General features: G+C 48.9%; 1 protein-coding gene across 1 annotated transcript in view, besides 3 other annotated features; it reads left to right on the forward strand.

The window, feature by feature from the left end:
* Positions 6,153 to 6,674: an enhancer, noted in NCBI's record as "NANOG-H3K27ac-H3K4me1 hESC enhancer chr9:134248209-134248730 (GRCh37/hg19 assembly coordinates)". NCBI's record gives its function as "activates a minimal SCP1, AML or CMV promoter by ChIP-STARR-seq in primed H9 embryonic stem cells {active_cell/tissue: H9 hESC(primed)}" and the evidence as "EXISTENCE:reporter gene assay evidence [ECO:0000049][PMID:30033119]".
* Positions 6,675 to 7,198: an enhancer, noted in NCBI's record as "NANOG-H3K27ac-H3K4me1 hESC enhancer chr9:134248731-134249254 (GRCh37/hg19 assembly coordinates)". NCBI's record gives its function as "activates a minimal SCP1, AML or CMV promoter by ChIP-STARR-seq in primed H9 embryonic stem cells {active_cell/tissue: H9 hESC(primed)}" and the evidence as "EXISTENCE:reporter gene assay evidence [ECO:0000049][PMID:30033119]".
* Positions 6,691 to 6,810: an enhancer, noted in NCBI's record as "active region_29186". NCBI's record gives its function as "activates an Ori minimal core promoter by ATAC-STARR-seq in GM12878 lymphoblastoid cells {active_cell/tissue: GM12878}" and the evidence as "EXISTENCE:reporter gene assay evidence [ECO:0000049][PMID:35858748]".
* PRRC2B (proline rich coiled-coil 2B) overlaps positions 6,982 to 22,023 on the forward strand; it is a 126,543-nt gene continuing 111,501 nt past the window's right edge. The window contains exon 1 of the mRNA NM_001384822.1: positions 6,982 to 7,062. The gene's annotated coding sequence lies outside the window, so the exon portion shown is untranslated. The remainder of the gene's footprint in view (positions 7,063 to 22,023) is intronic.

Raw genomic sequence — 22,023 nt, forward strand, 5'->3', positions numbered from 1 at the left:
AGGCGTGAGCCACCGCGCCTGGTCTAGATGTCTTTCACTGTCATAATTTTGCAAAGGTTTCAGGGCTGAGATGAGAAAGAGTGGGAACAGGGCTTGGCTTCAGCTCACTCCCACTGGAGCATTCTTCCATGCATTCCCAGTGATCACAAACCCCACTCCACTGCCTCATTGATGCCATAATGTTTAACCACGCCTTTTACTTAAGGAATGCCAAGAACTGGCTTTAGGAAATCCAAATATGAAACCAAGGTTGTGGCGTGTTCCACCCTGGGAAGGAATGCTGAGCAACTGATTTATAGCCTTGCTACCAGCCAGACCACCAGGTGGCCCCTTAGTCAAGACAACCATAGCAACCGGCCATGCTAACCTGCATACCCTACCCCTCAGTGTTTTGCCCAGTCCAGTCTGCACACCACCCTACCCCTGACGTTAATTCCCACACTTTGCCTAATAAAAAAGCCCTACTGACTCTTTTTAGAGAGGCAGTCAGGGAATTCTCCTCTCTGTCTCTTTCTGCCTCCCGTGCTACCTTCATATGTCCAGGCATAAGCTCCAACTAAGTCTTTCCTGGGAAAACTCCAGGCTTCATGACGATTTCTATTGCATTGAGAGCCCAAGAATCTATGGTCAACAACAGGGAGCAGTGGCTCACACTTTTACCCAGCACTTTGGGAGCTTGAAGTGGAAGGATTATTTGAGCCCAGGAGTTCAAGACCAGCTTGGGCAATACAGTGAGACCCCATCTCTACAAAACATAAAAACAAATTAGCTGGCCATGGTAGCATACGCCTATGGTCCCAGCTGCTTGGGAGGGTAAGGAGAAAGGATTGCTTGAGCCAGGAGTTCAAGGCTGCAGTGAGCTATGATCCTGCCACTGCACTCCAGCCTAGGTGACAGAGTGAGACACTGACTCAAAAAAAAAAAAAAAAATTTTTTTTAAAGGAATCACCAGCTTGTGCTGTGAAGAATACTACCAGGTAGTTAGGGAAGTACACCCGGAACCTGCTTATCTGCTTGTTAATCTCTCAGCAACACAGACTTTCAAATCATATTCTTAACTGGAAATAAATGGGAAAAAAGATCTCTGGGGCAAGAAATTATTATCACAAAGACCTCATGCTAAATTATAATACTTACAAAAAAACAATTCATATTTTGATTTTTAGCCCAAAGGATTTGATCAGCCACATTTTGGGGGTGAGGGTGGAGAGAGCTGGTTGGAGAAAGGTACTGTTTGAGACAGACCATGGCCACAGGGAGTTTTGGCTGGGAGCCTGATAATAAAGTAACAGCAATCCAAAGAACAAAACAGAATTTTCCTAAAGCACAGGATGACAATGTTACACAGACTGTTTCCACCCCTGCTGCCCCAAATTCATATGTTGAAATCCTAGCCCCTGCCGGGCGTGGTGGCTCACACCTGTAATCCCAGCACTTTGGGAGGCCGAGGTGGGCGGATCACCTGAGGTCAGGAGTTCAAGACCAGCCTGGCCAACATGGTGAAAACCTGTCTCTACTAAAAATACAAAAACTAGCCGAGCAGCACAGTGGCGGATGCCTGTAATCCCAGCTACTCGGGAGGCTGAAGCAGGAGAATTGCTTGAACCCAGGAGACGGAGGTTGCAGTGAGTTAAGATCGCACCATTGCACTCAAGCCTGGGCGAGCGAGACTCCGTCTCAAAAAAAAAGAATAAAAAAAAAAAAAAAGAAATCCTAGCCCCCCAAGGTGATGGTATAAAGAGATGGGGCTGGGCTGGGCCAGATGACTCAGGTCTGTAATCCCAGCACTTTCGGAGGCTGAGGCAGGAGGATAACTTGAGCTCAGGAGTTCAAGAACAGCCTGGGCAACATAACGAGACCCTGTCTCTACTAAGAATTTAAAAAAAAAGAATTGTCGGGCAAGGTGGCTCACACCTGTAATCCCAACACTTTGGGAGGCTGAGGTGGGCAGATCATGAGGTCAAGAGATTGAGACCATCCTGGCCAACATGGTGAAACCCCGTGTCTCCTAAAAATACAAAAATTATCCGGGTGTAGTGGCATGCACCTGTAATCCCAGCTACTTGGGAGGCTGAGGCAGGAGAATTGCATGAAGCGGGAGGCAGAGGTTGCAGTGAGCTGATATCATGCCATTGCACTCCAGCCCGGTGACAGAGCGAGACTCCGTCTCAAAAATGAATAAATAAATAAATAAAGAGAGCAATGGGGCTTTTGGGAGATGATTAAGTCACGAGAGGTGGATACCATGTAAGGACACAGCCAAAGGACAGCTGTCTCTGAGCCAGGAAGCAGGCCCTCACCAGACAATGAATCTACCAGCACCTTGCTCGTGGAACTTCCCAGCCTCCAGAACTGTGAGAAATACATTTCTGTTGTTTGTAAGCCACTCATTTTATGACATTTTGTTATAGCGGTCCAGACATGCTAAGACAGGTTATAAATACTAACAATAGTGCTAAGCTATTAAGAAAAGGTTGGGCCAGGCGTGGTGGCTCACGCCTGTAATCCCAGCACTTTGGGAGGCCCAGGCGGGCGGATCATGAGGTCAGGAGATTGAGACCATCCTGGCTAACATGGTGAAACCCCATCTCTACTAAAAATACAAAAAATTAGCCGGGTGCGGTGGCAGGCGCCAGTAGTCCCAGCTACTCAGAGACTGAGGCAGGAGAATGGCGTGAACCCAGGAGCGGAGCTTGCAGTGAGCCAAGATAGTGCCACTGCACTCCGGCCTAGGTGAAAGAGCGAGACTCTGTCTCAAAAAAAAAGAAAAGTTTAACTATGTCCAAGATCCTCTATTTAACAGGACAAAGATAGTTTGTTTTTTTTTTTTTTTAGACGGAGTTCCGCTCTTTTTGCCCAGGCTGGAATACAATGGCACGATCTCCACTCACTACAAGCTCTTCCTCCCGGGTTCAAGCAATTCTCCAGCCTCAGCCTCCTGAGTAGCTGGGATTACAAGTGCCCGCCACCACGTCCAGCTAATTTTTGTATTTTTAGTCAAGATGGGGTTTCACCATGTTGGCCAGGCTGGTCTCGAACTCCTGACCTCAGGTGATCCTCCCGCCTCAGCCTCCCAAAGTGCTGGGATTACAGGCATGAGCCACTGCACCTGGCCAATGGATCCATTTCAAAAATCTCTTAATAAATTTTACAAAAACTCACCATGGTGTAAATGTGCCATCATTCTTTGCCTGGCCAAGTTCCTGTGTGTCACCTTGGTGAGGTGCTGCAGCACAACAGAAAGCAGAAGGTCTGTGATAAGCTGCATAGGGGTTCACATCCTGGCTCAGTCAGTTACTCGCTGGGAAAATTACTTCTCTAGTCCTCAGTTTCCTCATTTATTATTATTATTATTATTATTTTGAGATGGAGTCTCGCTCTGTCACTCAGGCTGGAGTGCAATGGTGTGATGATCTTGGCTCACTGCAACCTCCACTTCCCAGGTTCAATAGATTCTCCTGCCTCAGCCTCCCAAGTCACAGGGATTACAGGCACGTGCCACCACGCCCAGCTAATTTTTTGTATTTTTAGTAGAGACGGGGTTTTACCGTGTTAGCCAGGATGGTCTCGATCTCCTGACCTTGTGATCCGCCCACCTCAGCTTCCCAAAGTGCTGGGATTACAGGTGTGAGCCACTGCACCTGGCCAGTTTCCTCATTTCTTAAGTGGGGCAATAAGGCCGGGCACAGTGGCTCATGCCTGTAATCCTAACACTTTGGGAGGCCGAGGCAGATGGATCACTTGAGGTCAGGAGTTCAAGACCAGCCTTGCCAACATGGTGAAACCTTGCCTCTACTAAAAATGCAAAAATTAGCCAGGCATGGTGGCAGACGCCTGTAATCCCTGCTATTCAGGAGGCTGAGGCAAGAGAATCACTGGAACCTGGGCGGCGGAGGTTGCAGTGAGCCGAGATCGCACCACTGCACTCCAGCCTGGGCAACAGTGAGACCCTGTCTCAAAAAAATAAATAAATAAATAAAAATAAAATAAAGTGGGGTAATAATAGTACCTGCTGCAGAGGGTTGTCGTAAGGATTTAATGAATTGATGCATGTAAAGCACCTGCACAGGGCTAGGACGTGAAGTCAGAGTGCACTGGCTGTTTGTGTAGTATGAGTTACTATTCATGTTTCAGCATGCATGCCCCTTACTGGTTCTGAAGAACACAATGGTCTTTGGTTACCAAGATACAAGTAAACAATTGAAGATTACTTTTGGGTGTTCCTACACTGATGAACAATCCTGTGTGTTTTTATCTCCCTAGATAATTTTAATGATCTGGAATGCTCTTAATGACCTAATTTGGGGCTGGGCATTCATACCTATAATCCCAGCACTTTGGGAGGCTGAGGTGGGAGGATTGCTTGAGCTTAGGAGTTTGAGACCAGCCTAGGCAACATAGTGAGATCCCAGTCTCTACAAAATATGCTTTTTTTTCCTTTTTTTTTTTTTGAGACAGAGTCTCTCTCTGTCGCCTAGGCTGGACTGCAGTGGCGCGATCTCGGCTCACTGCAAGCTCCGCCTCCTGGGTTCACGCCCTTCTCCTGCCTCAGCCTCCTGAGTAGCTGGGACTACAGGCACCTGCCACCATGCCCAGCTAATTTTTTCTATTTTTAGTAGAGACGGGGTTTCACCGTGTTAGCCAGGATGGTCTCAATCTCCTGACCTCGTGATCCGCCTGCCTCGGCCTCCCAAAGTGCTGGGATTACAGGCCTGAGCCACCGTGCCCGGCCTACAAATTTTTTTTTTTTTAATTAGCCTGGCATTGCAGTGTATGCCTGTAGTCCCTGCTACTCAGGAGGCTGAGATGGAAGGATCTCTTGAGCCTGGGAGGTTGAGGCTGCAGTGAGCTGTTAATTGTACCACTGCACTCCGGCCTGGGAGAGAGTGAGGCTATGTCTCAAAAAAAAAAAAATCTGACTTGGGAGTATTTTCTTTCTTTCTTTTTTTTGAGACAAGAAATCTCGCTCTGTCACCTAGGCTGGAGTGCACTGACGCGATCTCGGCTCACCGCAACCTCCGCCTCCCAGGTTCAAGCGATTCTCCTGCCTCAGCCTTCTGAGTAGCTGGGATTACAGGTACATGCCACCACGCCTGGCTAATTTTTGTATTTTTAGTAGAGACGAGGTTTCACCATGTTGGTCAGGCTGGTCTCGAACTCCTGACCTAGTGATTCGCCCGCCTTGGCCTCCCAAAGTGCTAGGATTACAGGCATGAGCCACCGCGCCCGGCCGGGAGTATTTTCAAAACAACTCTAAAGCAGAATGCTGTTCAAGTCACCTAATTTCTGCCTCATATGGTGTCTCTTTATATGCATAAGCCTCACTATTTCCCTAGGTCCCTTGGAGATATTATCACGAAGGTGACTGACTGATGGACTTCATCTTTTGGTATCATTATATACTTCCGGTGGCATGTTACCCTTGTTCAGCAAGCCCAAGGGGCACTGCGTGCAGGGATTTTCACTAGACAGGATCGTGTCAGCTTATTAAATATAATAAACAAGTGGCATCAGAAGTAAGATCTACCATTATCCTTTCCTGTTTTTCTGATAACATGGAAATTTTGCATGTTTTCAGGCTGTTGCCATTCTTGCCACTGCCTAGCTTTATCACACCAGAAAGTACAGCGTGACTGAGAATTCATATAAACCTTCCAAAAATCTTCTCTCAGAAAATGAACCGGATCTCTCCTGGGCCTCATACACCTCACAGATAACAAATCTTCATCCAAAAAAACGTTTAGCTTTTTGTTGTGATGAATTTCTTGCGAGTCTTCCATTTAACTTCTTTAACAACTTCACGATGATCTTTGCAGATAAGCTCATTCCCACAGAGGTTCCTTCTCCTACAGAGAATTATGTCGAGGACAGGGAGTTTTTGGTTTTGTTCTTTTTCCCCCACCGATAAAAAACTACAGAAATGAGAGGCCATGCACCAATTTCTGCTGGTCACAGTTCTGGATCCTTCTCCTTTGACCAAATGTCCTCAATTCCCCCACTTGGCTCTGGAGATGGGTTTGTAACCGAGAGACCTCGCTGTCAGCAATTAGCTTCCCCCTCACCCCGCCAGACGGAGTCTCGCTCTGTCGCCCAGACTGGAGTGCAGTGGTGCAATCTCGGCTCACCGCAACCTCCGCCTCCCGGATTCAAGCAATTCTCCTGCCTCAGCCTCCTGAGTAGCTGGGTTTACAGGCGTGCACCACCATGCCCGGCTAATTTTTATATTTTTAGTAGAGACGAGGCTTCACCAGGTAGGCCAGGCTGGTCTCGAAGTCCTGACCTCGTGATCCACCGGCCTCGGCCTCCCAAAGTGTTGGGTTACAGGCGTGAGCCACCGCGCCCGGCCTTTAGCAATTAGCTTTTTGATTTTTTTCTTCCGGTTCCTTTGCTCATAAATCTCTACAAGCGGATCACTGCTCTGCCGCAGAAGCGCCACCTGCCACGACAGACTCAAGTTTGTGTGCTGCCGCTGATGGGTTGTGTCCATTTGCTTTCGGAGAAGGCTCCAAGTCTAGGTTCCGAATTCGGTTGCAAGCTGGGGACCTTACTGGGGGGTTACACAGACCACGGCGTCTGACTTCCTCTCAATCTCACGAGCCAAAGCTCCTGTCAGCATCTTGGACAGTCTTTCCCGGGGCAGCGGCCACCACCCCGCTTCGGCTGGCCCTCCGCCCTCGAGCCGGACTGTCGCTGCACTGGACCGCCTCGCACTACCCAACACACGCAGCACGGCTGCCGGCGCCGGGACCCTGCGGGAGTCAACTGCTAGCATCTCAGCCCAGCTGGCGTGAAAGTTCGTCAAAACCCATGGCGGTATCTCGGCCAATCGGAGCTGGCCAATGGATGAGAGGCAGCTATTTCATTCAATCACGTCCTTCCGACATCCCGCAGCTCTCCCAATCGCAAAACGATGCAGCCAAAGTCGCTCCCGGAAGATGCGCGGAAGGCGGGGAATAGGGAAGGGGTGTGGCCACAGGCCCCGCCTTCCGCTCTGGGCCGCCGCGATTCTGGGCGTGCGTGAGGGAGGGTGGGTGCTGAAGGCGGAGGCAGCACCCACGCCAGGTGAGCCGTCGTTTCTTTGCGTGGATCTTTTAGGATCGCTCGTCTAGGCCGGGCGTGGTGGCTCACGCCTGTAATCCCAGCACTTTGGGAGGCCGAGGCGGGCGGATCACAAGGTCAGGAGATCGAGACCATCCTGGCTAACACGGTGAAACCCCGTCTCTACTAAAAATACAAAAGATTAGCAGGGCGCGGTGGCGGGCGCCTGTAGTCCCAGCTACTCCGGAGGCTAAGGCAGGAGAATGGCGTGAACCCGGGAGGCGGAGCTTGCAGTGAGCCGAGATTGCGCCACTGCACTCCAGCCTGGGCGACAGAGCGAGACTCCGTCTCAAAAAAAAAAAAAAAAAAATCGCTCGTCTACAAAGAAAAGGTAACGTTTGAGGTAATGGATATTTCAGTCACCCTGATTCGTTCATTACACATTGTATGCATGTATCAAAATAACACATATACCCCCCAAATAAGACCTATATCAATTTTAAAAATACCAAAGAAAATCACTCGTCCATACTGTGAGTTAGTGTGGTTAAAACTAAACACACTGTGGCTGGGTGCGGTGGCGCCCAGCGGAGACTCTGTCTCAAAATAAATAAATAAATAAATAAAAACTAAACACACTGCACTGATTCACTTATCCAAGAGTTGCAGGTGACGCCTTCTGTTTATGTTTATCTGTATTCTAAAAAAAGAAAAAAGTCAGAATGATATTAAATTTTGCTAACATGTATTACACAGATTGAACGCCACTCGGCATCAGTCTGTATAATGCATATTGTAAAGTTTAACCTCGCTCTTTTTTTTTTTATTTTTATTTTGAGACAGAGTCTCACTCCATCCCTCAGGCTGGAGTGCAGTGGTGTGATCTTGGCTCACTGCAACCTCTGCCGCCTGGGTTCAAGTGATTCTCCTGCCTCAGCCTCCTGAGTAGTTTGGGATTATAGGCATGCACCACCACGTCCAGCTAATTTTTGTATTTTTAGTAGAGACGGGGTTTCTCCATGTTGGCCAGTCTGGTCTCGAACTCCTGACCTCAGGTGATCTGCCCATGTTGGCCTTCCAAAGTGCTGGAATTACAGGCGTGAGCCACCATGCCCAGCCGATTTTTTTTTTAAGATAACAGATAAATGTAAATAGAAGGATCATATTTCCCACACACATCCCAGGGGACCAGCTTGCACCCTCCCCAGGGTACCACTGCCTCTCTTAGGAGACTCTGCCCCACAACACTTCACTTCATTGTTTGTAGAGAGGCAGAAGCTGGGCAATTAATGTGTAGGTAGACTGGAGACAGACTACCCAGGTTTGAGTCCTGTCCCTTCCATACATGTGCTGAGTGACTTCAAGTCACATAACTTCTCTGTGCAATTTCCTCATCTTCAAAATAAGGGCACTGGCCGGGTGCTGTGGCTCACGCCTGTAATCCCAGCACTTTGGGAGGCCGAAGCGGGTGGATCACGACGTCAGGAGTTGGAGATCAGCCTGACCAACATAGTGAAACCCCGTCTCTACTAAAAATAAAAATTAGCCGGGCATGGTGGTGCATACCTGTAATCCCAGCTACTCGGGAGGCTAAGGCAGGAGAATTGCTTGAATCCGGGAGGCGGAGGTTGCAGTGAGCCGAGATTGCGTCACAGCACTCCAGCCTGGGTGACAGAGCAAGACTCTGTCTCAAAAAAAATAAAAAAAATAAAAAAATAAGGGCATTAACAGTAGCTGTCTAGCAGGGTTTTTGTGAGGATTGAATGAGTTATTATGAAGGTGCTTAGAATAATGCCTAATCCATAATCTGCACTTAATAAATGATGCTGTTGAGGGAATGGGTGTTGTCTCAGAGCAGGTAGGAGCTCGCCATGTTATCTGTCCTTATTTCATTGTCTGCCACAGGCTTTGGGGTCAGAAGGCTCTTGTTCCACATTGGTTCTCCAAGCATGCACATTTTACCTTATAAAATTTACTTAAACTTTCTGAGACTCAGTTTCCTCCTCTGTAAATGAGAACTGATGTTAAGGATGAAATTCGGCTGGGCGCGGTGGCTCAGGTCTGTAATCCCAGCACTTAGGGCAGCCTAGGTGGGCGGATCACCTGAGGTGTTCAAGACCAGCCTGAGGTCAGGAGTTCAAGACCAGCCTGGCCATTGTGATGAAACCCTGTCTCTACTAAAAATACAGAAATTAGCCGGGCATGGTGGCGATTGCCTGTAATCCCAGCTACTTGGGAGGCTGAGGCAGGAGAATCACTTGAACCCAGGAGGCGGAGGTTGCGGTGAGCTGAGATCTCGCCACTGCACTCTAGCCTGAGCAACAGAGTGAGACTGTCTCAAAAAAAAAAAAAAAAAAAAGGCCGGGCATGGTGGCTCACGTCTGTAATCCCAGCACTTTGGAAGGCTGAGGCAGGTGGATCATCACCTGAGGTCAGGCGTTCAAGACCAGCCTGACCAACATGGTGAAACCCCGTCTCTACTAAAAATACAAAAAAATTAGCCAGGTATGGTGGCGCGCGTCTGTAATCCCAGCTAATCGGGAGGCTGAGGCAGGAGAATTGCTTGAACCTGGGTGGTGGAGGTTGCAGTGAGCGGAGATCGCGCCAATGCACTCCAGCCTGGGTGACAGAGTGAGACTCCATCTCAAAAAAAAAAAAAAAGGATGAAATGATAACATGCATGTAGCATGCTTAGCATGGTGCCAGACATGTAGTAGAGTCTCAGTAAACAGTAGCTGTGACAGAGACTACTGGGTGTTCAGCAATCCTCATTTACTTTTCCTCCAGGGCACACCACTGGACTACAATTCCCAGCCCCCTGTGTAGTTAGATGGGGCCATAAGACAGGTATGGATGATGGAATGAGGCCAGAGTGATGGGCATGCTTCCCGGCCTGTGTTTCCTTGTTAACACAACTGGAAGTGGGAGTGGAACCAGGAGGTGACGTTTCCAGAGTCCTTGCAGCGCCACTTGGAACAGAGCAAAACCCACTTGGGACTGCTGTGTGGGAGACAAAAAAATAAACTTTTGTGCTGGTGCCTATAATCCCAGCTACTCAGGAGCCTGACACGGGAAGATCACTTGAGGCCACGAGTTTGAGACCAGTCTGGGGAACACAGTGAGACTCCCATCTCTAAAATCATTCAAAAATTAGCCAGGCATGGTGGTATGCACCTGTAATCCCAGGTACTCGAGACACTGAGGCAGGAGGATGGCTTGAGCGCAGGAGTTTGAGGCTGCAGTGAGTTGTGATGGCACCACTGTACTCCAGCCTGGGTGACACAGCAAGACCCGGTCCGTTGAAAAAATAAATAAAAAAAGTTTGTTGTGATGCACCACTCAAATGCTGGGGTTATCTGTCGGTAGCCAACCTGACTAATACATAACCTTTTCAATTATTACTGTACAATTAATTTTTTTTTTTTTGAGACGGAGTCTCGCTTTGTCACCAGGCCGGAGTGCAGTGGCGCATTCGGGGCTCACTGCAACCTCCGCCTCCCAGGTTCAAGTGATTCTTCTGCTTCAGCCTCCCAAGTAGCTGGGATTACTGGCACACGCCACCATGCCCAGCTAATTTTTGTATTTTTAGTACAGACGGGGTTTCACCATGTTGGCCAGGATGGTCTCAATCTCCTAACCTCGTGATCCGCGCGCCTCAGCCTCCCAAAGTGTTGGGTTTACAGGCGTGAGCCACTGCTCCTGGCCTATACTATTAATTTTTTTTTTATACCTCCACAATTGTACTTTTGGAGGATATGGTCTTTTGTGATGGCATTTTATTTAATTTTTCCTTTTTCTTTTGTGTGTGTGTGTGTGTGTGATGGCATTTAAATGTGTGCATGCCTCTCCTCAACAGAATTGTAAGCCCCTCTTTGAGTTCTGTTTCTGCACCCCCACCCCAGCCCTGGGCTCCACATCCACAGTGCCCAGGTCCTGGGACGATGCCTACGGAATGACAAGAGGGTTTAGTGTCCAAGGCGAGGTGGAAAGATTTTCTTCTTTGTTGCATTTCATTCTGCCGCTTTCTCCTCTCCTCTCTGTTTTGTTTATTTGTTTGTTTTGTTTTTAGACAAGGTCTTGCCCTCTCGCCCAGGCTAGAGTGCAGTGGCACACACATGGCTCCCTGCAGCCTCAATTTCTTGGGCTGAAGTGATCCTCCTGCCTTAGCCTCCTGAGTAGTTGGGACCACAGGCATTAATCACCACACCTGGCTAATTTTTAAATTTTTTGTAGAAATGGCATTTCCCTCTGTTGCCCAGGCTAATCTTGAACCCCTGGGCCCAAGCGATCTTCCTACCTTGGCCTTTCAAAGCGCTGGGATGGCTGGGCATGGTGGCTTACGCTTGTAATCCCAGCATTTTGGGAGGCTGAGGCAGGTGGATCATGAGATCAGGAGTTTGAGACCAGTCTGACCAACATGGTGAAACCCTGTCTCTACTAAAAATTCAAAAATTAGCCAGGCGTGGTGGTACCCACCTGTAATCCCAGCTACTCGGGAGGCTGAGGCAGGAGAATCGCTTGAACCCAGGAGGCGGAGGTTGCAGTGAGCAGAGATTGCACCATTGCATTCCAGCCCGGACGACAAGAGTGAAACTCTGTCTCAAAAAAAAAAAAAAAAAAAAAGTCCTGGCAGGCCTGTGCTCACAAAGGCAGGGGGTGCTCCTATGCCACAGGTCTCTAGCCTCCCAGAGGAGGACCATAGCTGGAGGGGGAATGACACACCATTGGGGCCCAGGTGTGGAATCTAAAATGCACCAAGAATAATGAGATAATTGGGCTTCCTTGGACTATGTTCCCACAGGTCAGGTCCCCACCTGCAAAAGTTCCCCAAGGGCTGTGAGCAGCAGCTTTTCCCAAGCGCTCAGCCTCCATCCCAGCCCTGGGAGGGTGAGCTGAACACTCCTGTGCTCTCTTCCATTCTCTTCAGAGGAGAAATTAACTAGTGAAATACCAGCTTTTTGTCTCTGTGGATTTGCCTGTTCTGGGCATTTTGAGTGTTTTGTTTTGTTTTTGTTTTTGTTTTTTTAATTGAGATACAGTCTTACTCTGTTGCCCAGGCTGAAGTGCAGTGGTGTGATTTTTGGCCCACTGCAAACTGCCTCCCATGTTTAAGTGATTCTCCTGCGTCAGCCTCCTGAGTAGCTGGGACTGCAGGTATCTGCCACCACACCCGGCTAATTTTTGTATTTTTAGTAGAGACGAGGTTTCACCATGTTGGCCAGGCTGGTCTTGAACTCCTGACCTCAAGTGATCTGCCCACCTCGGCCTTCCAACGTGCTGGGATTACAGGTGTAAGGCACCGTGCCTGACCTTTTTTTAAAAATTATTTTTGCAATCTAAGGCAGGATGGACATTTTGTACAAAGGGAATCATGCAATACCTGGCCTTTTGTGTTCAGCTTCTTTCCCTTAGCATAACGCCTTTCAGCTTCATCCATGTGGTACCATGTGTCAGCACTTCTTTCCTTGTGTCTATCCATTCATCAGCTGATGGAATTTGGGATTGTTTCTGCCTTTGGCTATTGTGAATAATGATGATATGAACATTCGTGTATACTTTTTTGTTAGAACATCTGTTTTCCATGTGTTGGGGTATATATCCAGGAGTAGAATTTCTGGGTCATATGAGAATTCTGTGTTTAACTCTGAGAAACCACTAAACTCTTTTCCACAGTAGCTGCACTATTTTACATTTCCACCAACAATGTATGAATGTTCCAGTATCTCTGTATCTTTGTCAACACTTGTTATTTTCCATTTTTTTGGATGATGGCCATGCTAGTGGGTACAAAGTTGTATCTCATAGTGGTTTTGATTTGCATTTCCCTGCTGGCTGGTGATATTGAGCATCTTTTCATGTGCTCATCGGCCATGTGTATATCTTCTTTGAAGAAATACCTATTCAAGTCCTTGGTCCATTTTTTTTTTTTTTTTTTGGAGATGGAGTCTCACTCTGTCACCCAGGCTGGAGTGCAATGGTGCGATCACAGCTCACTACAACCTCCGCCTCCTGGGTTTAAGCAATTCTCCTGCCTCAGCCTCCTGAGTAGCTGGGATTACAGGCACACGCCACCATGCCTGGCTAATTTGTGTATTTTTAGTAGAGACGGGGTTTCACCATGTTGGCTAGGCTGGCCTTTAACTCCTGACCTCGTGATCCACCCGCCTCAGCCTCCCAAAGTGCTGGGATTACAGGCGTCAGCTACCGCACCCAGCCAGCCTTTTTTTTTTCAGTGGTTGTTTGCCTTTTTGTTCTTGAGTTGTAAGAGTTATTTATATATATATAATAATTTTTTTTTTTTTTGAGATGGAATCTCACTCTGTCGCCCAGGCTGGAGTGCAGTGGTGCAATCTTGGCTCACTGCAACCTCTGCCTCCTGGGTTTGAGCAATTCTCCTGCCTCAGCCTCCCAAGCAGCTGAGACTACAGGTGTGCACCACCACGCCCAGCTAATTTTGTGGATTGCTTGAGCCCAGGAGTTGGAGGCTGCAGTGAGCTATGATCATGCCACTGCACTCCAGCCTGGTGACAGAGTGAGATTTTCTCTAAAACATAAATAAAAATCTTAATAAAAGAGTTCTTAAGCTGGGCACGGGCACGGTGGCTCACACGTGTAATCTCAGCACTTTGCGAGGCCGAGGCGAGCAGGTCACCTGAGGTCAGGATTTCGAGACCAGCCTGGGCAACATGGTGAAACCTTATCTCTACTAAAAATACAACAAATTAGCCAGGCGTGGTGGTGCGTGCCTGTAATCCCAGCTACTTGGGAGGCTGAGGCAGGAGAATCCCTTGAACCCGGGAGGCGGAGGTTGCAGTGAGCTGAGATTGCGCCATTGCACTCCAGCCTGCAAAACAGAGCAAAAACTCCGCCTCAAAAAAGAAAAAAAAAAAGGCCGGCCGCAGTGGCTCATGCCTGTAATCCCAGCACTTTGGAGGCTGAGGCGGGAGAATTACGAGGTCGGGAGTTTGAGACAAGCCTGGCCAACATGGTGAAATCCCATCTCTACTAAAAATACAAAAAATTAGCTGGGCATGGTAGCAGGCGCCTGTAATCCCGGCTACTCGGAAGGCTGAGGCAGGAGAACCGCTTGAACCTAGGAGGCAGAAGTTGCAGTGAGCTGAGATCACACTACTGCACTCCAGCCCGGGTGACAGTGTGACAGTGTGAGATTCTGTCTCCAAAAAAAAAAAAAGAGTGATTTGTATATTCTGGGTACCAGACCCTTCTCAGACATATGGTGTACACATATTTTCTCCCACTCTGTGGGTCGTTGTCTCACTTTTTTGACATCAGGTTAGATTTTGAGATCTATTTCTCCAGGGCCTACACTTCTGAGATACCGGCCTACGCTACATAGGGCAAGACTTGATTACTAAATTCTGCTGCCAATGACCCTCCTTCATCCTACCCTTATCCTACCACCTCCACCTCACATGTCAGCTTCACTAGTTGTTGTGTCTTCCTGGGTCTCCATGTTGAGGAATATTCTCAAGCGGTTGAGCAGGAAGAGGACTGTAGTTCAGGAATGCTGCCATGGGCACAGAAAGGGAGCAGGTGGGATGGCTTCCTGGGACTTGGCCATTCCTGTTCTTTATTTGGGAGGCTGCTTTGAGAGCTGCCTCTTTTCTTTTCATTTCCTTTCTCAAACCCAACCCTTCAATAATTTTTCATTGCTTCTTATACTCAACCAGAGTTTCCAAGTTCTGGTTCTTTTTTTTTTTTTTTTTTTGAGACGGAGTCTTGCTCTGTCCCCCAGGCTGGAGTGCAATGGTGCGATCTCGGCTCGCTGCAACCTCCGCCTCCCGGGTTCACGCCATTCTCCTGCCTCAGCCTCCTGAGTAGTTGGGACTACAGGAGCTCGCCACCATGCCCAGCCAATTGTTTTGTATTTTTAATAGAGATGGGGTTTCACCGTGTTAGCCAGGATGGTCTTGATCTCCTGACCTCGTGATCTGCCTGCCTCGGCCTCCCAAAGTGCTGGGATTATAGGCGTGAGCCACCGCGCCTGGCCAATTCTTTTTTTAAGTTTGTTATTTTTATTATTGTTTTTTTGGGACAGTCTCGCTCTGTCCCCCAGGCTGGAGTACAGTGGCGTGATCCCAGCTCACTGCAACCTCTGCCTCCCAGGTTCAAGCGATTCTTGTGCCTCAGCCTCCTGCGTCACTGGGACTACGGGCACGTACCACCATGCCTGGCTAATTTTTGTATTTTTAGTAGAGACAGGGTTTCACCGTGTGGGCCAGGCTGGTCTTGAACTCCTGGCCTCAAGTGATCTCCCTGTCTTGGCCTCCCAGAGTTTCCAAGTTTTATTTATTTATTTATTTTTGAAGACTGAGTCTCACTCTGTCGCCCAGGCTGGAGTGCAGTGGCATGATCTCAGCTCACTGCAACCTCCGCCTCCTTGGTTCAAGCAATTCTTCTGCCTCAGCTGCCCAAGTAGCTGGGATTACAGGCATCCGCCACCACGCCCGGCTAAGTTTTGTATTTTCAGTAGAGACGGGGTTTCACTATGTTGGTCAGGATGGTCTCAAACTCCTGACTTCAGGTGATCCACCCTCCTCGGCTTCTCAAAGTGCTAGGATTACAGACGTGAGCTACCAAGCTGGACCAGAGTTTCCAAGTTGTAAATCTTACCCTCATTTGTTCTTTTATTCCCCAGTCTCTGGTCTTTGCCTCCTCTCTTTCTCCAGTGTCTGATGGGAAATGGAGGGCAAAATTATAAAGACTGGCTGTGGTTTGAAGAGAGGATGCCAGGAGTCCCAGGGAACCCCTGTGTTGTTGAGCCCCTCGGAGACTTGCTTTTATCCTGTGTGTGTGTTCACTGCTAAGGCTCAGATGTCCCTCCCTGCTGTGAGCTTCTGGGTCTGTGCAAGGGCCCCCTGCTGCTGGTTCGTTCGGACCCAGTGTTGTATTTTTAGCTCCAGGCCCCCATTCCTTTTTTTTTTTTGGAGACAGAGTCTTGCTCTGTTGCCTGTCGCCCAGGCTGGAGTGCAGTGGTGTGATCTCGGCTCACAGCAACCTTCGTCTCCCAAGCTCAAGCGAATCTCCTGCCTCAGCCTTCCAAGTAGCTGGGATTATAGGTGTGCACCACCACGCCCGGCTAATTTTTGTACTTTTAGTAGAGACGGAGTTTCACCATATTGGCCAGGCTGTTCTCGAACTCCTGACCTCAAGTGATCCGCCCGCCTTGGCTTCCCAAAGTGCTGGGATGACAGGCCTGAGCCACCGCACCCAGCCAGGCCCCCCATTCCTGTAGGAGTGCACCTCCCCTCAGGTGGGGCCACATCTCTAGTGGCTACCAGACAGCGTGGGATGTCCTCCCGGTGCTCAGACACTCCCATCCCCAGGCCTTTGTTCATGCTGGTCCCTCCATCTGGAATGTTCCTCCACAGTCTCCGCTGATTAAACTCTGCTCTTCCTTTAAGGCCTGGCCTCAAAAGCACCTGCACCGAGAAGGCCTCCTCCGGCTCCCCAGCTGGAATCCATTTCCCCCTGGAATATTGTTCATTTTTCCCCTTCAGTTTAGATGACTCCACTTTCTAAACTGAACATGGGAACTCATGCTGTGTCTCGTTAGTACAACTGCACTGTGGAGAACAGGTGCAGAGCATTTGAAAGCGGCCAGTCCAAGAATCCTGGAACAGCTCATGACTGCACCAGCTGGAGGCCTCACATTCCTGGATCAGATCATATTACAAGTTAGCTGTGGCCAAATCCCTGTTATCCTCCTACCCTTTCTCGGGAAGGAGGAAGCACTAGACCACGTTAAGAGCCAGGTCCCAAGATATTCAGGCCCAGCTTAGGCTGTGTCTGGCAGGTAGTGAAAGAAAGCTCACGAAATCAGTCTTTATTCTTGTAGGGTTTTTGTTTGTTTGTTTTGGTTTTGGTTTCTCTTTTTTTTTTTTTTTTTTTGAGACAGAGTCTCGCCCTGTCACCCAGGCTGGAGTGCAGTGGCCCAGGATGGAGTGCAGCGGCTCGATCTCGGCTTACTGCAACCTCCGCCTCATGGGTTCAAATGATTCTCCAGCCTCAGCCTCCCAAATAGCTGGGACTACAGATGCCCACCACCATGCCCAGCTAATTTTTTGTATTTTTAGTAGAGACAGGGTTTCACTGTGTTAGCCAGGATGGTCTGGATCTCTTGACCTCGTAATCCACCCGCCTCGGCCTCCCAAAGTGCTGGGATTACAGGCATAAGTCACTGCGCCCGGCCGGTTTTGGTTTATTTTTTGCGACAGGCTTGCTCTGTCACCCAGGTTGGAGTCCAGTGGCACAGTCATGGCTCCTTGGACCCTCTGCCTCCTGGGTTCAGCTGATCTTCCCACCTCAGCCCCTGAGTAGCTGGGACCACAGGCACGTACCACCATACCCGGCTATTTTTTTTTTTTTTTTTTTTTTTGGAGACAGAGTATTGCTCTGTTGCCCAGGCTGGAGTGCAGTGGCACGATCTCAGCTCACTGCAACCTCTGTCTGCCTCCCGTGCTCAAGCGATTCTCATCCCTCAGCCTCCTGAGTAGCTGGGATTACAGGCACCTGCCACCACGCCTGGCTAATTTTTGTATGTATGTATGTATGTATGTATGTATTTTATTTGAGGTGGAGTCTCACTCTGTCACCCAGGCTTAAGTGTGGTGGCACGATCTTGGCTCGCTGCAACCTCCACCTCCCAGGTTCAAGTGATTCTCCTGCCTCAGCCTCCCAAGTAGCTGGGATTACAGGCACGCACCACCATGCCCGGCTAATTTTTTGTATTTTTAGTAGAGACAGGGTTTCACCATCATGGCCAAGCTGGTTTCAAACTCCTGACCTCAAGTGATCCGCCCACCTCGGCCTCCCAAAGTGCTAGGATTACAGGTGTGAGCCACTGCGCCCGGCCTAATTTTTGTATTTTTAGTAGAGATGGGGTTTCACCATCTTGGCCAGGCTGGTCTTGAACTCTTGACCTTGTGATCCACCCGCCTCAGCCTCCCAAAGTGCTGGGATTACAGGCGTGAGCCACTGCGCCTGGCTTAATTTTGCACTTTTTTAGTAGAGACGGGGTTTCACCATGCTGATCAGGCTAGTCATGAACTCCTGACCTCAAGTGATCCACCCACCTTAGCCTCCCAAAGTGCTGGGATTACAGCTGTGAGCCACCGCGCCTGGTCGAAGGAGACATTTTCACATTGGCTGTAACAGGAGTGGAACCAGAGCTGGAAGATGGACAGGAAGTAACTGAGTGAAACCAGGAGAGCAAGGCTGGAGAGAGTGGGCATGAACCAATGAGCAAGTGTTGGGTTGTGTTTTGTTTCCTTTTAGTTAATTAATTTAATTTTTTGAGATGGAGTTTCACTCTTGTCGCCCAGGCTGGAGTGCAATGGTGTGATCTTGGCTGACTATAACCTCTGCCTCCTGGGTTCAAGCGATTCTCCTGCCTCAGCCTCCCGAGTAGCTGGGATTACAGGCATGAGCTACACCAGTAAGTTTCCTAATATTTAAAAGAAAACAGCCGGGCACTGTGGCACATGCCTATAATCCCAGCTACTTGGGAGGCTGAGGCAGGAGAATCACTTGAACCTGGTAGGCGGAAGTGGCAGTGAGCTGAGATCGTGCTGTTGCACTCCAGCCTGGGTAACGAGCGAAAAACTCCGTCTCAAAAAAAAAAAAAGTTTCCTTCAGGGTCCCCCAAATGTCCTGGGAAATCCCACCCAGGAGCCAGCCCTCACTGGCAGCCTCAGACCACAGACAGCAGCTGCCACAGCTGGCCCAGCACATCAGCCTTGCTCTCCCCTGGAAAGGCTAAACTTCCCAGACTGGCACTGCTGGATTCTTCTAGTCCTGGCTCGGCTACCCATGTCATTTGTGTCCTTGCCTATGTAAGTCACTTAACTTCTGACCTAAATTTCCTTATCCGTAAAGTGGGAGAAATAATAACAGTCTTGCAAGTGTTAATTAAGTTATCTTAGCAGCATGCCTGGCCCAGAAAAATGCTCAGTAAACAACAGCTATCCTCATTCTTTTTTTTGAGGCGGAGTCTCGCCTTGTCGCCCAGGCTGGAGTGCAGTGGTGTGATCTCGGCTCACTGCAAGCTCCGCCTCCTGGGTTCACGCCATTCTCCTGCCTCAGCCTCCTGAATAGCTGGGACTACAGGCGCCCACCACCACGCCCGGCTAATCTTTTGTATTTGTAGTAGAGATGGGGTTTCACCATGTTAGCCAGGATGGTCTCAATCTCCTGACCTCGTGATCCGCCCACCTCGGCCTCCCAAAGTGCTGGGATTACAGGCGTGAACCACGGCGCCCGGCCATCATTCTTATTGTTGTCATCTCAGAGAGAAGTGCAGAGAGAAGAGGATTTCCTGAACTTGGGATGTGGTTTGGATGTAGCCTAACCATTGAGTTTTACGGGGCAAGTGAAGGATCTCTGTTTGTTTGTTTTTTTTAAGAGATAGGGTCTTGCTCTGTTGCCCAGGCTGGAGTGCAGTGGCGTGAACATGTCTCACTGCAGCCTCGACTTCCTGGGCTCAAGCAATCCTCCCACCTCAGCCTCCGGAATAGCTGGGACTGCAAGTGTGCACCAACATTCTCGGCTAATTTTTTAATTTTTTTGTGGAGATGGGGCATCTCACTGTTGCCTATGCTGCTGGTCTTGAACTCCTGGGTTCAAGCAGTTTTCCTGCCTTGGCCTCCCAGAGTCCCGTGATTATAGGTGTGAGCCACTGCGCCTGGCCTATGCCTGTGGCTTTTTAACTCCCAGGGATGCAGCAGCTCCCACTGTCCCCAGAGGGTGTCACCCCACTTCCAGATCTGCCCGAGGAACAGAGCCTTTGACTTGACTTTCCCCCCTTAATACTTCCTCATCTGTCTTCCCAGAACACCCACGTCCTTCCAGGTTTTTCATACGCTTATGTCCTCTCTTGTCAGATGATAAAAACGGGTAACCCTATGAGTCCCAGGGTCCCTTCTGTTGTAGCCAATGAGGTCAAGGGCCAGACACCCATTCTGCCATTCAACAAACCAACCAAATTCATTGAGCACTCACTATTTGCCAGGCACCATGCTTGATGCTAAGGATAGCACAGGTGTATTAGGGTTCTCTTAGAGGGACAGAACTAGTAGGATATATATAATCATATATATATATAAGTCATATATATATATAGGAGTTTATTAAGTATTAATTTACACGATCACAAGGTCCCACAACAGGCTGGCTGTCTGCAAGCTGAGGAGCATGGAGAGCCGGTCCAGGTTCCAAAACTGAAGAACTTTGGGAGAAAGATGTAGGCTGTGAAGTTAGGCCTGTCTCTTTCTTTCTTTCTTTCTTTCTTTTTTGAGACAGTCTCGCTCTTGTTGCCCAGGCTGGAGTGCAATGGCACGATCTCGGCTCACCGCCACCTCAGCCTTCCGGGTTCAAGCGATTCTTCTGCCTCATCCTCCCAAGTAGCTGGGATTACAGGCATGCACCACCACGCCTGGTTAATTTTGTATTTTTAGTAGAGACGGGATTTCTCCATGTTGGTCAGGCTGGTCTCGAACTCCCGATCTCAGGTGATCCGCCCGTCTCCGCCTCCCAAAGTGCTGGGATTACAGGCGTGAGCCACCGCGCCCGGCCACCTGTCTCTCTCTCTCTTAGTTTTCTGCCTGTTTTATGTTCCGTGGCAGCTGATTGGATTGTGCCCACCAGATTAAGGGTGGGTCTGCCTTCCCCGGCCACTGACTCAAATGTTAATCTCTTTTGGCAACACCCTCACAGACACACCCAGGATTAATACTTTATATCTTTCAATACAATCAAGTTGACACTCAGTATTAACCATCACAGCAGAGAACCAAATGGACTAAGTCCTTGTCCTCCTGAGCCTTAGACCGATATCTCCCTTGTGCCAGACTTAATCCCTGAGGGATTTGCATCAAATAAGACAGATGCGGTCATCCTGCCTCTCACGGTACTGTCATCTCCTCCACTTCCCAAACTTTGGCAAAGGCTGTGAGGAACAGTGGAGAAGGTAAAGAGCTCACTGCCCCTGTGCCACCACCGAGAGTGTGAAACCTGCCCAGCACTGAGTGGCATGTGCTATAAAGTATAAAATACATGCCGGACTTGAAGACTTCATGTGACCACAAAGAATGTCAGTGATCTCATTTATAATTTTAAAATATTAATTACCTGTTGCAACAGTAATATTTTTGATATAGTAGGCTAAATAAAATTCATTATTAGGCCAGGTGCAGTGGCCCATGCCTGTAATCCCAGCACTTTGGGAGGCCCAGGTGGGTGGATCACTTGAGGCCAGGAGTTCAAGACCAGCTTGGCCAACATGGCAAAACCCCATCTCTACCTAAAATACAAAAAGTTAGCTGGGTGCGATGGCACACGCTATGTAGGAGGCTGAGGCATGAGAATCATTTGAACGCATTGTGGGCGGGGGGCCGAGGTTGCAGTGAGCCGAGATTGCTCCACTGCACTCCAGCCTGGGCAACAGAGCGAGACGCTGTCTAAAAAAAAAAAAAAATCATTATTAAAATTAATTTCATCAACTTTTACTTTTACTTTTTTTTTTTTTTTTTTTAGATGGAGATTCCCTCTTGTTGCCCAGGCTGGAGTGCAGTGGTGCAATCTTGGCTTACTGCTACCTCCACCTCCCAGGTTCAAGCAATTCTCCTGCCTCAGCCTCCCGAGTAGCTGGGATTACAGGCATACACCACCACACCCATCTAATTTTTTGTATTTCGTAGAGATGGGGTTTCACCATGTTGGTCAGGCTGGTCTTGAACTCCCAACCTCAGGTGATCCGCGCACCTCGGACTCCCAAAGTGCTGGGATTACAGACGTGTGCCACCACGCCCAGCACTTTTTTTCTTTTCTTTTCTTTTGAGACAGAGTCTTGCTCTGTCACCAGGCTGGAGTGCAGTGGCGCGATCTTGGCTCACTGCAACCTCCGCCTCCTGGGTTCAAGTGATTCACCTGCCTCATCCTCCTGAATAGCTAGGACTACAGGCACAC

This window comes from Homo sapiens, chromosome 9 (assembly GCF_000001405.40).
Source record: "Homo sapiens chromosome 9, GRCh38.p14 Primary Assembly".
Lineage (NCBI taxonomy): Eukaryota > Metazoa > Chordata > Mammalia > Primates > Hominidae > Homo > Homo sapiens.